Source organism: Homo sapiens, chromosome 1 (assembly GCF_000001405.40).
Source record: "Homo sapiens chromosome 1, GRCh38.p14 Primary Assembly".
In the NCBI taxonomy this organism is placed as follows: domain Eukaryota; kingdom Metazoa; phylum Chordata; class Mammalia; order Primates; family Hominidae; genus Homo; species Homo sapiens.
In genome coordinates this window covers 37,832,186-37,848,157 of record NC_000001.11, presented here as the reverse complement: position 1 = coordinate 37,848,157, position 15,972 = coordinate 37,832,186, and the positions used below count along the sequence as shown (strand labels likewise).

General features: G+C 42.6%; 1 protein-coding gene and 1 pseudogene across 5 annotated transcripts in view; one reads left to right on the top strand and one right to left on the bottom strand.

Annotated features, from left to right (window-relative positions):
* The window catches only part of MTF1 (metal regulatory transcription factor 1), a 50,019-nt gene that overhangs the window by 11,435 nt on the left and 22,612 nt on the right, over window positions 1–15,972 (top strand). For 4 of the 5 annotated variants that reach the window (NM_005955.3, XM_047421170.1, XM_011541491.3 and 1 more), the window contains 5 exons: window positions 8,000–8,238; window positions 9,402–9,533; window positions 12,414–12,487; window positions 12,943–13,079; window positions 15,836–15,913. In NM_005955.3, coding sequence (NP_005946.2) covers window positions 8,000–8,238; window positions 9,402–9,533; window positions 12,414–12,487; window positions 12,943–13,079; window positions 15,836–15,913 — 660 coding nt within the window. Of the gene's footprint in view, window positions 1–2,265; window positions 3,221–7,999; window positions 8,239–9,401; window positions 9,534–12,413; window positions 12,488–12,942; window positions 13,080–15,835; window positions 15,914–15,972 lie in introns of those variants that run through there. The other variant, XM_047421173.1, reaches the window with a different exon arrangement.
* Window positions 6,478–7,313, bottom strand: RPS2P13 (ribosomal protein S2 pseudogene 13; annotated as a pseudogene).

Here is a 15,972-nt window from a genome sequence, read left to right as displayed (position 1 = left end):
GGTTAAAATGTTCTTTGTTAGGCACTCTTTGGGAGGTGTTTTCTCCTTGAGACAAGCTTACATATAAATTGTGATTAGGTTCCAGGATAGCCCATAGAAATCTTGGTAACCCCTAATTAGCTGAACTGTTGTATTAATACTGCCATGGAACATAAACCGCCATTTATAACTGTGTTTTATTCATTTAATTTTTTGAGACAGGGTCTCACTTTGTCACCCAGGCTGAGTGCAGTGGAGTGATTACGGCTCACTGCAGCCTTGACCTCACCAGCTCAAGCGATCCTCCCACCTCAGCCACCACACCTGGCTAATTTCTTATTTTTTTGGAGAGTCGCGGTCTTGCTATGTTGCCCATGCTGGTCTCGAACTTCTGGGCTCAAGTGAGCCTCCCACCTCAGCCTCCCAAAGTGCTAGGTGAGCACTTACAGGCATGAGCCACCTCACTGGCCCATACAACAGTGTTTTAAAATGAGAACCTGTCTGTAGTCCCCTGCAGGCGTTCTGTGGATACCAGCTCTTGCCACTCCTCTCTCTTATACTTGGCTTCCTTTGACTTAGTATCAGGCCACTGAAAATTATTTCCATGGTGGGCATTTGGGGCACCAGGCAGAGCTAAGGGCTCTCAAAGAATGAGGACTTCTATTATGCTGGCAATGGTGGTGGAGAGAGGAAGATGGCTGGCTGTTGAATACCTGATATGTACCGATCACTATGTTATGGGCTTTAATATAGTTTTGTATTTAATTTTCTTAGCAATCCTATAACATAGATACTATTAGCCCCCATTTTACAGATGACAGACTGACACTTAGAAACACACAACTAGCAACTGGTAGAACCGAGATTTGAACTGAGGACTTTCTGGATGCCAAAGCCTATGCTTTCTACCATCACACACCACTTTTGCAAAGATACAAGAATCAGGTATTGAGACCTGTTGGCTGTGAAAAGGGCTAAGAAATGAAGGGACAGCAGTACTTGTTCTGTAAGGGTAAAGGTTTGAGGTGTGGGGAACAGCTGGATGAAGTCAGCTCTCATGGTGGGGGATGGGAGGCCTGTCGAAATGAGATCTTCAGGGTTCTTATATTTCTGAGCTTTTTGGTTGTCCATTATGGAGAAGAAATGATACCAGTGCCGGTGTGGGGAATGGAGTCGGACACAGAGAGGGAAGGGAAGTCACTAGTGATGGGGAGGAAAAGGCAGTTTCTATAGCCATAACAGCCAGGCCAGTCATTTATTTATGAGAATGTTCATGTGCTAGGTGCCCAGAAGCAGGAACTCTCTTGTGGAATAGGGGGCTGTAAATGTGTGTAAAATCTGCTTCTCACTTTCACTTTCTTTTCCTCCAGGAAAAACCCAGCCTTTTTTCTTTTTTCTTTCTTTCCACAGGTGTTGACTTTTTTCTTTTTCTAATTTTTTTAAATTTTTGCCTTCTGGGGTCACAGTGTTTTATTTTCTCACTTTTGCTTATCCCATTCACCTTTCTTCTCTGATTCTGTTATCTTAACAAGGCAGTCATCTTTGTTAAATATTTCTGTATTCTAGAACTGCTCAGAACACTTTGTAAATCAGCATCAATTCTCTGAAAGCTCCTACTTTGTGCCCATTACTAGCATGAGATGTTATCCTCAGTGCACCTAACCTGTGCTCCCTCCATGTTCCCTAACAGGGTAATCGACAGCTGTTTGAGGCCACTCAGGAAGATTAAAGTTATGCTTAGAGCCTGAAGCTCTTTTGGAGGAAAGCTTTTTTTTTTTTTTTTTTTTAAATGGGGTCTCACTCCATCACCCAGCTGCTCATGTCTTTAAATTCAGGTTGGGGATCACCACCTTCAAGAAGCCTTTCTAAGGTCACTGAAGTCTGTTACATGTTTCTTTGGTATATTCCCATAGTATGCTGAATATCTGTTATCAGTAAAACTTCTCAAACCATGTTGTTCTTGTCTGATTTTCCTTTTGACTTTGAGCTCTTTGAGAGTAGGGACAATTTTTATATGTATTCCTAGCACCCAGGACAGTATAATTTCTGGAACATAATTTTTAGGATGTATGAATGATAAACCTTAGTTGTATTGAAATGTTCCAAATGTTGCAATACCTCCTGTATGTAACCATGAAAACCTACACGTTTTTGCAATTTCCTGCTCTGATCCAGTTTGAGGAGGTTTAGTTTTCCCTTTTTGTGAAATTTTGTGCTATTTTAAAATGATTCTGAAAGACACAGAATAGTGACTTCTTCTTCTCCCTCCAAATGAGGCAAGAGATTACTCATTTATTCAGCATTTTATGGGGGGAGCACGCATTTGCTTTGACAGTCAACTGTCTCCCCCACTTTTAAATACAAATATTTTCAGGCCGGGTGTGGTGGCTCATACCTGTAATTCCAATACTCTGGGAGGCTGAGGTGAGAAATTTATTTGAGGCCAGGAGTTCCCGACCAGCCTGGCCTAACATAGTGAGACCCCATCTCTACAAAAAATACAAAAATTAGCCAGGCGTGGTGGTACATACCTATAGTCCCAGTTACTCAAGAGGCTGAAATAGACTGCTTGAGCCCAGGAGGTTGAGGCTGTAGTGAGCTGAGATCATGCCACTGCATTCAGCCTAGGTGACAGAGAGAAACTCCATCTATTCAATCAGTCAATCTGTCAATCAATCAATAAAAATCAAACAAATACTTTCCCCAATCTGTGTCCTTTTCTAACTTGCTATCCGCCCCCTCCCCTCTCTTTCTCTCCTCAGCCAAATTTCTGGAAAGTGTAGTTGATATTCATTGTCTCACTTTCTCACTTCTGTTCCTACCATTCCAGTGAAGCTGGTTGTGCTGAGGCAATTATGACTTTGTGAGTCAGCTAAATCCAAGAGGTGTTTTATCAATCATCTGTGTTACATTTGACCTACTTGACCATTCTCCTTGAAACTATTCCTTTGTCACATGTCACTTGTAGTCCTTGTCACTACCTTTTCAGTCCCACTGGTTTTGTTCATTTGTTCATTCATTCAAAAAATATAAATCAAGCGCCACTTCTCCACAATGCTAGTCCCGGAAGTTGTGTCAGTGAACAGGATAAACGTAGTCCTTGCTCTCATGGAGCTTACAGTCCAGCCGGGAAGTAGCTATTCACCCATTTAATTGGACAAATATTTATTTAGTGCCTGTTGTTTTTCAGATAACTGTTGTGCCTAGCCATGAAACATAATGATGTAAATGGTTTAATCAGGTAATTATTGCATCTTAATTTTATCATGTGCTTTACAGGAAGCTCTGAAAACCTATAATTAGGATGCCTATTCTAGTCTGGGATAGAAGTAAGGGTCAGTCAGGAAGAGTTCCTAGAGGAAGGGTCATTTAGTGGAGGCTTGAATTGTGCAAATGAAAAAACATGAATGGGAGTAGAGTTTGGCAGGGCAGGGAGACAGGAGGGGGTAGTTAATTATTTATTGCAGTTACTTATAAAGTTAACAAAAGCTGTAGCATCTTAAGAGTGAAATTCTGCTCTTATCATTCAGCATTGTTGTAAGCTTTATGATTGATACATGCAGACTCCTTTATCCCAGCATCCACAATCCCATTTCTCCTTAGTGGTGAGTGATCATTTTCAATTCTCTATCTGGCAGCACAAAGGAGGTTTTTAGTCTTGATGGGAAGTCAGAATATATGCATGAGACAATAATTAACAGTATAAACTAAGTGTCAAATGAGTGGTATAGTAAGTATTACTGGCATTTAGAGAAGGGCACTGTCATGTAGACATGGAATGATGGTGAAGGAGCGTGTAGTTCCTGAGGCTCGCGTTAAAGGAAGAGAAGGACTCAGAAAAGCGGAGAAGGAAGGAACTAGGCATTTCCAGTGGAGAAGAAGGAGAGAACGAAGTCAGGGAAGTAGGAATTCAGTCTTGCAAATGGGTAAGAGTGTACTGTTGCTTATAGGCCTAGACAGAGTCTTCTGTTTGGCTGCTTACTGAGTAATGTGATAGAAGACAGAAGCAGCCCTGGAAAGATCTTTGAATGTTAGGCTAAGGAATTGGGACTTTATCATTTGAGCAGAGAGATGGAATGTGTGGAAAACTGTTTTAGACTTAATCTGGCAACAAATGACTGCAAAACTAGGTCCTGAGACGTGAGAAGAATGCCTGGATTAGTGATTCAATAAGGAATTCAGTTTAACAAATATTTATGGAGCTTCTTCTGTGTGGCAGTGGAAAGAGAACACAATGAACAGGTGAGAGCACTTGACTAAGGAACCTAAAGACTTGTGCAAGATCAGATGGGGGTTGGATGGATGGGGGAGGGGTGGGAGGGGAGACAGGAGGAGTAGGGGCCCTCCCTACTACCCTACCACCACAGGTTTCAGAGGTTAGCATACTGTGGCCTACAGGCCAAATCCATCCAGTTACTTGTTTTTGCACAGCCCTTGAGCCTAAGAATGGTTTTTACATTTTTAGATGATTTTTTTAAATCATAAGAGTATATCATGGTATATGAAATTCAAATTTTAGTGTCCATAAGTAACGTTTTTGAAACAGAGCCTTGCTGGTTCATTTACGTATTGTCTGTTGCTACTTTAACATGCAGAGGTGACTAGTGACACAGACCATAAGGCCCACAAAGCCTAAACTATTTTTTGTTTAGCCCTTTACAGAAAACTTTGTCCATCCTTGAGTCACACTCATCCTTATCTCAAATCTCTTCTCTGAAACTAAATGTCCCTCTCCTACCTGAGGCTTTCCCCTCCTCCCGGGCTTTTAAATCTTGCTCTTCTTTATTTTCCTCCTTAAATCCTCAACTTCTCCTTCTTCCAGGACTTTTCTGCCTCCAAATATGTTCAAGAACTGACTTACTTTAAAAAAAAAAACCAGGCCAGGCGTGGTGGCTTAACCCTGTAGTCCTATTGCTTTGGGATGCCGAGGCAGGAGGACTGCTTGGGGCCAGGAGTTCCAGACCAACCTGGGCAACATAGCAAAACATTTAAAAATTAGCTGGGTGTGGTGGCATATGCCTGTAGTCCCAGCTACTATGGAAGATGAGGAGGGAGGGTCACTTGAGCCCAGGAGTTTGAAGTTACAGTGAGCTGTGAATACACCACTGCACTCTAGCCTGGGCAACAAAGACCCTGTCTCTTAAAAACAAAAACAAAAAGACTTTATCAACTCAGGAGTTCACTTGTGCTGCCGTACTTCATCTCTAGCCTCTACCTCCACTTCACCTTTCATTTAGTCACCTGCATCCGGACCCTGACCCCAGTAGTCCGCTGAAACTAGTCTTGCTAAGTCATTAGTGAATTCCTAGCTGCTGGATCCAGTCACTTCCCCAGTCTTTATCTTCCTTGTTTTCTCTGACATTTAACATGTTGATCATGTTTCCTTGAGACCCTTTTTCCTTTAGCTCTGGTGACATCATTGTTCTTGGTTTCTCTGTCTCAAACAAAAAAAAAAATTATGTTGAACAAAAGTGCCAGAATTCAGTCTTCTGCTGCCAAGTCTAGTGCTTCTTCTACCGCATCAGTATAGATATGAGGATCTTTGGGAGATGAGAGACAAAATTGGGAATCCCTACACCTACACTTAGAGGTTAAGGGAAAGAAGTATCTCAGAGAAGGAGTTAAAGAGTGCCCCAAGGCATTACTATGTTGTGAAGGACAAGTTTTCAGACATTGAGGGTATCATCAATGAGACATGTTTGCGAATAGTCAAGGAAAATAGGGAAGGACGAAAGAGTCTGACTACCGGGAAGTTAAGAGAATAATTTCTTACAGTAAAGCCATCTTGCCAACTGGTTAAGAAATACATGGGCATTGATGGAAATGGTGTCAACTGCCATTTTTTAAATTTTTAAAAATTCTTTTTCTTTTTTTTCTTTCTTTTCTAAATCATCCAGCCCAAAATGTTATTGTTATTATTATTTTTTCTGTCATCTAGGCTGGAGTCTAGTGGTGTGATCATAGCTCACTGCAGCCTCAGCCTTCCAGACTCAAGTGGATCTTCCCACCTCAGCCTCCTAAGTGCTGGGACTATAGGCATGTGCCACCACGCCTGGCTAACTTTTGTATTTTGGTATTTTCTTTATTAATATTTTTATTTCTATTATTGTTTATCTAGTTTTTTTTCCCCCTTTTTTTTCTTTTTTGAGGCCAGGTCTGGTTCTGTCTACCAAGCTGGAGTGCAGTAGCAATCATAGCTCACTGTAACCTTGAACTCCTGGGCTCAAGCAATCTTACCTCAGCTTCCCAAATAGCTGGAACTATAGGCATGTGTCACCATGCTCGGCTGATTTTGTGGTTTTGTTTGTTTTTGGTAGAGACAGGGTCTTGCTGTGTTGCCCAGGTTGTCTCAAACTCCTGGCCTCAAGTGATCCTCCTGCCTTGGCCTCCCAAAGTGATGGGATTACAAGCATGAGCCACCGCACCCTGCCTTCTTCTTTTTCTTTTCTTTTTTTAAACAGGCTCGATTCACTTTATTTTTCTTGTGTAAAATTCCTGTGTTATAGCCACAGTTGGAGCCTGGGTCCTCTGCACAGAGACTCTGGTGTGGGTCTTGATGAGGTGGTCAGTGAATTCCTGACGGGGAGACTTGGTGAATACAGTCTTTTTCCAGAGATCAGGGGTCAGGTAGCTATAGGTCTTAGAGGTGGCCTAAAGGGTGGCTTTGGTGAAGTTGTCCAGGGTAGCAGTGCAGCCCATGGCAGAGGTATAGCAGTTGTCAATACCATCCATCAGCAGCCGTTTCCTGGGCATGGGCCAAGATGATGCCATTGCCTTGGGTGGGGTGGGGGAGGGATAAGGCACACCAGCACAGAGCCACAGCAGCCTGTCACCTTGCAGGGGACGGCGTGGGGCTTGCTGATCTTGTTCCCCTAGTGGCCTCTCCAAACAGGAACAGTGGAGAGCTTGACCAGGATCATGGCCCCTTGGATGACATTGGCAACCTCCTTGGAGCACTGAACATCCAGACCGATGTGGCCACCGTAGTCCCCGATGGCCTTGAACCTGGTGTGCTGGCCAGCGCGGGTCTGCTTTTGCAGAGGTGTAGTCTTCAAAAGCTCATCCTCGAGAGGTGACCCCAGCAAAAAGTCAATGATCTCAGACTCCTTAATGGGCAGGGAGAAGAGCTAGACCTTCTCCAGGGACTTGATCTTCATGTCCTGGACCAGGCAGCCCAGCTTGGTGATGGGCATCCACTCCTTGTTCTCAGCCTTGCCTCTGAGAGCTCCATGGCCTCAGCCCTGGCTCCAGGCCAACCACAGCCATGACCCTGGCCCCAATATCCCTGCCAAAGTCTCTGAGGAAGCTGCTGGGCCTCCCATTCCAGGCCCTCCACTGCACTAGAGTCATCTGCCATTTGATATTTGTCGGAGAAGCAGCTTTTTTTTTTTTCTTAACCTTCTGCCATGAGGTGAAGAATTGACTCCCCTTTCAAGAAGTTTGATGGTGAAAGGAAACAAGAGGCTGGCAGTTTGAGAATTATCACATCACCAAATCTTCCAAGAAATTTGCAATATGTTGTTGTCATTTTGTAGGCTTGAAAATATGCAGTGGAAACAATCTAGGGAAATATGTTTGATGATTAAGTATGTAAATTTCCAGATGTTTTAAACTCAATTTAATATTGGTAATTCCAATCAAGTTGTAGTTCTGGAGGTCAGGGTGTTTAGTCAAGCCTTAAAACAAAGTTAAGATCTTATCTGAATACAGGTAGCTGTAACAGTATAGTGTACTTTTAGTGGGTAGATGTATATAGAGTCTGAAAACATTCTTATGTTCATTTAGAATATTCATCTACATATAGACTTATTTCTTCCCCATAAATCATTATGTGTTGTCCAGGTATGATTTGATCAACAATAAGGTTTTTCCACTTTGCTGCTAGAGGCTGTTTTCTGTGTTTATGATGAAAACCCAGTTGTATTGTCCACAGCATCTCTTGGGAGCTGAGCTCTGGGTGGGGGAGTTAAGCCCTGGGCAGCATTTTTGTCCTGTTGATGAGGTATCTTTTCTCTGCCAGGTAAAGCGGTACCAATGTACCTTTGAGGGCTGTCCCCGCACCTACAGCACAGCAGGCAACCTGCGAACCCACCAGAAGACTCACCGAGGAGAGTACACCTTTGTCTGTAATCAGGAGGGCTGTGGCAAAGCCTTCCTTACCTCTTACAGCCTCAGGATCCACGTGCGAGTGCACACGAAGGAGAAGCCATTTGAGTGTGACGTGCAGGGCTGTGAGAAGGCATTCAACACACTGTACAGGTCAGTCTCGTCTCCAATGCTCTGCCAGCCTCTGACCTTGACCTTGTTGTGATGGCAGAGCTCTTTCCCCTTGCAGAGGAGTTGTTTTCACTTTCAGGGCTTTAAAAGAGCGCAGCTGTGTTCAACTACGTAAAATTCATTTCTGCCAGATCTCAGAAAATGAAAGAAAAAAATTTAAAAATGCATTAGAGAAACCTGTTACTTAAAGATGGACGTATCTTGGGCTGGTTAGAAGCGACAGTACATTTCTGTTTAGATTTGCATCTCATGGAGCAGCATTCTGGCCTGGGCATTTCAGTGCTTGGCATAGAGTACTATCTCCCCTTGGCTCAGGATCTTTGTGCTAAGGCTTCTGTCCTACCTAAGCTTGAAGGACTTTTCTATCCTGAGAAATGGGGAGTGGCCTATTCAGTAGCCAATTCTCTTTTTCACGTTTGTATCAGGAGACTTAATAGTCTTCAGTATTGAGTATAAAGTAATAGAAATAACAGTAGCTAACACTTAAAAATACTCACTGTGTGCTAGGCATGATTCCAAGTGCTAGTCCCCACAATAGCTGATAAGTAAATGGAAGCACAGAGGGGTTCTATAACTAGCTTAAGTTTCCCCATCCAAGCAGGATGTGGGGTCAGGATTTGAATCCCAGGAAGTCTGTCTCCAGAGTCACACTCATACCACTGTGCTATTCTCTGCGTTTCTTTTGGGGCAAAATATGTTGGATACTAATATGTTATGGGTATAGAATTCTTACGCACTTGATCCTGAAGCACATTAAGCTGGCATGGGGAGGCTCTGTAGAACTTTATGACAAAGGGAGGCCAGGCGCAGTGGCTCATGCCTGTTATCCCAGCACTTTGGGAGGCCGAGGCAGGCGGATCACCTGAGGTCAGGAGTTCGAGACCAGCCTGGCCAACCTGGTGAAACCCCGTTGTACTAAAAATACAAAAATTAGCCAGGCGTGGTTGTGGGCTCCCATAATCCCATCTACTTGGGAGGCTGAGGCAGGAGAATCGCTTGAACCTAGCAGGAGGAGGTTGCAGTGAGCCGAGACTGCGCCATTGCACTCCAGCCTGGGCGACAAGAGCGAAACTCTGTCTCAGAAAAAAAAAAAAAAAAAAAAAAGAATTTTATGACAAAGGGAATTTTTCTGGAATATTTTGCAGGCTGAAAGCACATCAGAGGCTTCACACAGGGAAAACGTTTAACTGTGAATCTGAAGGCTGCAGCAAATACTTCACCACACTCAGTGATCTGAGGAAGCACATTCGAACTCATACAGGGGAAAAGCCATTTCGGTAGGTCTTACTGTTTTCTATTTGTCACTGACCAGGTTTCAGCTGGGGGTCTTGATATACTCTGGAATTTTTCAAAAAAGAAAGAAAACTCCCTTTACTAGCTCTTGATTTAGCAGTGTTAGCTCACCCCAGGACAGCTATAACCAACCACTGCAGATTAGAGGGGTGCTGATGGAGTCCAAGAACATCCTTACTCTGTGGATGATGGCCTTTCTGCCTCATTTTTTCCCATTTATTTCCAAGAAGCATTTGTTGAAACTCAGTTATGTGGTGGGTACTTTTATTAGTGCTAGAGAAATACTCCGAAGCAGGCCTTCTTCTTAAGAACCTTTGTCTGGTGACAAAAAACCACAAATTTGTGGATAATATCTGAGGCTGCAAGATGGCCAAAGTGCCTTAAGCCCAGAGGAGGGATACCTACCTAAGAATCAAGGAGGGAGGGAATGAGGAGACAAGAGAGGAAATGAGAGGTAGGGATGCTTAGCTTAGTGGTGCAGTTGTTACTTGTTCAAATTATTGCTTTGTAATATCTCGTGTGTATACACAAACATATAGGAGCATCCATTTTTATTCATATATGTCAACATATGTATATCTAATAGATACATTTACTATAAACTTGAAGGAGGGACTTGGGTTATCTACTTTCTTCTCTGCTCATAGTATATAGCATGATTCCAGGCATTCAACAGGTATTCAAAATCAGCTTTGGGATGATTATATGACATTTTTAATGAGATAATCAGTTTGTAAGGATTTCCCCTAAATGTAATATAGATAGATGTATTGCCAAAAACTGCCCATAAACAATGTCTTTGAGGCCGGGCATGGCGGCTCATGCCTGTAATTCCAGCAATTTGGGAGGCTGAGGCAGGTGGATCATGTGAGGTTAGGAGTTTAAGACCAGCCTGGCCAACATGGTGAGACCACATCTCTACTAAAACTACAAAAATCAGCCAGGCGTGGTGTCACATGCCTATAGTCCCAGCTACTCTGGAGGCTGAGGCAGGAGAATTGCTGGAACCAGAGAGGCGGAGGTTGTGGTGAGCCAAGATTGTGCCATTGCACTCCAGCCTAGATGACAGAGTGAGACTCTGTCTCAAAAAAAATAAAAATAAAAAAAAAATAAACAATGTATTTGAATTTTGGCAGGGGATATTCAAGGCATTAGATATGCTACCTGTTCCTTCTTAAACCACTCGTTTTGTTAGGGTACTTAGAAATAAAAAGTCGTTAGAGACAGTCAACTCTTAGATGCCAATCAAATGGAATTGTGGGCTGGGCTTATGTCTGTAATCCCAGTGCTTTGGGAGACTGAGGTGGGAGGATCACTTGAGCCCAGGAGTTCAAGACCAGCTTGGGCAAGTGAGACCCTGACTCTACAGAAAATTTTAAAATTAGTTGGGAGTGGTGGCGCATGCGTGTGGTCCCAGCTATTTAGGAGGCTGAGGTGGGAAGATTGCTTGAGCCTGGGAGGTCAAGGCTGTAGTGAGCCATGGTCATGCCACTACACTCCAGCCTGGGCAACAGAGAGAGACCATGTCTCAGAAAAAAAAGGAATTGTGTTTTTAAGTTACAGATGCATTCCTGAGTCATGATCCCTTTAAGGGCAAGAGTAGTTAGATTGTAATTGGTTACTCTACAGATGGATGCTGTGAAGCTTAGGTTATTCCCCGCCGCCCCCCTTCCCGTAGGCTGCTGAGAGGACTCTGATTTCTATCCAGTCACATGCATTTATTTTTGTGATGATTAAAACTGCATTTTTCTTGAATATTCAATGAGACTTTAGACATGATGATGATTGCATGTAATTAAAAATGAAAATGCTTTAGAGAAGCTTTCTATTTAAAGAAATAAAATATTTTGGTTTATAAGAAAATGCATTCATTCATATAAGTAATTAAGGAATGTCTGCTATGTGCAGGAACTACAGAAAGAGCTACGTGGATCCTGTACTCAAGTAGTTTACACTCTAGGAGAGCAGATACCAGATGTATCCACAGAGAAAATAAGATTGGAAATGAGAGTTGCCATAAAAGAAATGTAAAGAAAAGCCTTAGGAGTTCTGAGGAGGGAAAGATTCCTTTTAGCTTTGGTTATCAAGACAGTAAAAGAGAATGAAGTAGATCTCGACACACAAGATTATAGATAAGTTACTTGAGCCTATCTTCTGATTGATTTTGTTCTTATGTTACATTGCAAGCCATGTACATATTTGAGAGCCACTTTGCTTACTCTTGATATTCCTAATGTTCCACTGGCAGATTTTTCATATGGACTGTCACTGTCAACAGAGGTCTGTTAAGTAATTCATCAAAAGACTTTTGTTGTCAGGGCTCTCAACATGGACCTTACCTGTAGGACAAGAAATACTTATCCTGGGCTCTCAGTTCTCTCTGATCCCAGATATGCCACCTTACTTTTTCAAGAACCTCTCATCATTCCCATCTCTAAAACCAGTGTCATTGATCTGATCTTAGTGTTCTGAATATTTGTTTTAGTTTCTATTTATAAGAGATGTTCAGAGGCCAGGCACAGTGGTTCACGTCTGTAATCCCAGCACTTGGGAGGCCGAGGCGGGCGGATCACAAGGTCAGGAGATCGAGACCATCCTGGCTAACATGGTGAAACCTTGTCTCTACTAAAAATACAAAAAATTAGCTGGGCGTGGTGGTGGGCACCTGTAGTCCCAGCTACTCGGGAGGCTGAGGCAGGAGAATGGCATGAACCCGGGAGGTGGAGCTTGCAGTGAGCCAAGATTGCGCCACTGCACTCCAGCCTTGGGGACAGAGCGAGACTCGATCTCAAAAAAAAAAAAGACGTTCAGGATAAAGATCTATTAGCTAATGACTCCTGTTTCTCTTTCCTTAACAAATTTAGGTGCGATCACGATGGCTGTGGAAAAGCATTTGCAGCAAGCCACCACCTTAAAACTCACGTTCGTACACATACTGGTGAGTTTAGGCCAATTTTTGTTTCATCAAGCCTGTAACTATCAATTTTCCATTGAGACCTGTAGAGCTAGGTGGATATACAGAGATATAGATCCTGTATATATTCAGGTGAGCATAATTAGCTCAGCCTTACCTAGAATGTTTGGGTTTCTTTCAGAGGCGGACCTCAGGTATTCAACCTTAAGAGATGAAACCAATACAGAGACACTCTAAAAAAAAACAACCTGTGAGAAACAAATCTACTCTTTAAACTTCCCAGCAGTAGGCATTCCCAATGCTTTGCTCAGCATTGAGTTTGAGGACTGAGATGATTAATGTGTAATTTATTGAACTTTTAACAACTGTTACCCAAACTCTCTTAAAAATACTTACTTACCTCTATTAGGGAAAGGTAGATTTCTTAATCCAGTGAAATGACTTTATGGTAAATTAACACTACTTTGTTATTCTTGCAGGTGAAAGACCCTTCTTCTGCCCCAGTAATGGCTGTGAGAAAACATTCAGCACTCAATACAGTCTCAAAAGTCACATGAAAGGTCATGATAACAAAGGACACTCATACAATGCACTTCCACAACACAATGGATCAGAGGTGTGTAGTGTTTTTGTCTCTTGATCTGGGTACCATAGAACTTCAACAGTTGTTTGTGTATCACAATCAAAGGTTAAAATGTCTTCTCTGTATATCTGTTAGTGAGCGGGAAGAAGTCAGGGTCAAGATCAGTGTCTTGACTTGTGTATTTAACCACCTACTCGACGTCTTCACCCAGATATCATCTACTCTTGTCAAACTTAACATGTCCAAACCTGTTCTTCCTGCAGTCTTCCTCGTCTTGGTAAATGGCGGCTCTGGTTTTCTAGTGGCAAAGGCCAAAAATCTTATAGTCATTCTTGACTCTTTTTTCCCTCACACTCCACATCCGCCAGCAAAGTCTGCCAGCTCATCCTTGATAATTTATCTAGAATCCCATCACTTCTTCTGATTACTTCATTCAGTCTACTGTTGTCTTTTTGCCTGGATTATTGCAATAACCTGTTAAGTGAGCTTCTTAGGACCTTTTCCCCCTCTTCTGTCCACTCCACAATAGACTGTCCTACATATATCAGCCAGAGTGATCTTTCTGAACCATAAAGCAGATAATGTCTGTCCTCTGCTCATAACCCACAGTAGCTTTTTAAATTTTTATTTTATAGATTTTTAAAAATTATTTTAATAGAGATAAGGTCCAAGCAGTCTTTCCCTTCCCCCACCCCCGCCGCCCCCACCCTCTGTCTCAGCCTCCCAAAGTGCTGGGATTACAGGCATGAGCCACCCCACCTGGCCTCCAGTAGCTTCCTGTATCACTTGAAGTAAAAGTCAGTCTTTATAGTAGGCTATAGGGCCCTACACATTCTGGCCTGGTTGCTTCTCTGATCTCATCTACCTCGCTTTTATTTTTGTTTTATTTCATTTTATTTGAAACAGGGTCTTGCTCTGTCCTGTAGGCTGGAGTGTAGTGGTGCAATCTCTGCTCACTGTGACCTCCACCTCCCTGGCTCAGGGATCCTCCCAACTAGCTGGGACCACAGGCATGCACCACCACACCCAGGTTTTTTTTGTGTTTTTAGTAGAGATGTGGTCTTCACCATGTTGCCTGGGCCGGTCTTGCACTCCTAAGCTTAAGTGATCTGTCTGCCTTGGCCTCCCAAAGTACCGGGATTACAGATGTGAGCCACTGTGCCCTGCCTACTTTTCTTCCTCTCACTTCAGCCATATGGTCCTCTTTGTGGTTTCTTGAACCAAGGAGTGTCCACTCCTGCCCCTAGGCCTTTATACTTGCTGTACCCTCTGCTTGGAACATCTTCTCTAGATATGTGCATGGTTGATACCCTCTTTCCTTCACTCTCTACTCAAATGCCACTTACCTAAAAGGGCTTCCCTAACCACCCAATAAAAGAGCAACTCCTATCCCAGAGTTCCCTACTGCCCTTACTCTCCATAACACTTATCCTCTTGCACATTGTATATTTATTTGTTTTTTGTCCTCTCTGCTAGAACGTAAGCTCTACGTGGGGAGGAGTTTAGTTTGTTCATTAATGTATCCCTGGGTCTGGAACGGTGTCTAATACATAGTAGATGCATTATGAATGTTTGTTGAGTGTGTGCATGAATAGGAGCATCTGAGGTAAGCAGGGCTACCACCTAAAGTGTGAATTGTGACTGGCATTCTGGGACTCCAGAGTTCACTTAGTCTGGGCAGTGGAATTTGAATTCTAAATCCCCAGTACCACTCTGAGTAAGGAGCCTTTCAGTGCCCATGTGGGAAACACAGTGGTGGAAGGACCATTGACTTTTCAGTCAGAAGCACTGGATTTGTCTTCTGCTAATTAGCTGTGTGTTTGGGGGCACTTGATTCCTACTGTCTGAGCATCAGTTTTCTGATATTTAAAATGGGAATATAAGTTTGTGGCAATTTGTTACAAAAAGAATAAAAAATGGGGATATAGAGTAATACTTCCAAGGTTTATATGAATGGCAAATGAGGTCCTGTGAAATCACTGTAAATGATGAGACCAGGTATACAGATAGTATTAATTTCACATTATTATAGGTTTGTTACTTTGGAGCCTTAGTCATAAGATAATGTTAAAACTCTTTATTATTATTATTATTTTTTTTTTTTTGAGACAGAGTCTCACTCTTGTCGCCCAGGCTGGAGTGCAGTGGCGTGATCTTGGCTCCCTGCAACCTCTGCCGCCCAGGTTCAAGTGATTCTCCTGCCTCAGCCTCCCGAGTAGCTGGGATTACAGGCACACACCACCGCGCCTAGCTAATTTTTTGTATTTTTAGTAGAGATGGGGTTTCACTATGTTGGCCAGGCTGGTCTCGAATTCCTGACCTTGTGACCCACCTGCCTCAGACTCCCAAATTGCTGGGATTACAGGCGTGAGCCACCACTCTCAGCCTCTAAAACTCTTTATTAATCATTTTTAAGAAATGTAAGATATTCTTGTAAGAATATCAGGATTTTTAAAAATTAACTAATTCACGGGGTGGGGCAGGGGAGGGATAGCATTAGGAGATATACTTAATGTAAATGATGAGTTAATGGGTGCAGCGCGCCAGCATAGTACATGTATACATAATGTAACAAACCTGCACATTGTGCACATGTACCCTAGAACATAAAGTATAATTTAAAAAAAATTAATTCATTTAGCCCTTGCTTTGGTTGGCTTATACTTCTTCAGATAATACATGTAGACATGTGGAACATTAGGGACTTTGTAATCAAATGTTTTGTTACATGATATGCCACTGTAAATCCTGATTTTTGTTACTCAATTAGAATTTTTTCTCTTTCACAGGATACAAATCACTCACTTTGTCTAAGTGACTTGAGCCTTCTGTCCACAGATTCTGAATTGCGAGAAAATTCCAGTACGGTAAGTGTACCTGTAATACCAGTGCTAGAAAAATAAGGGCAAGAATTAAGCACTCCCTT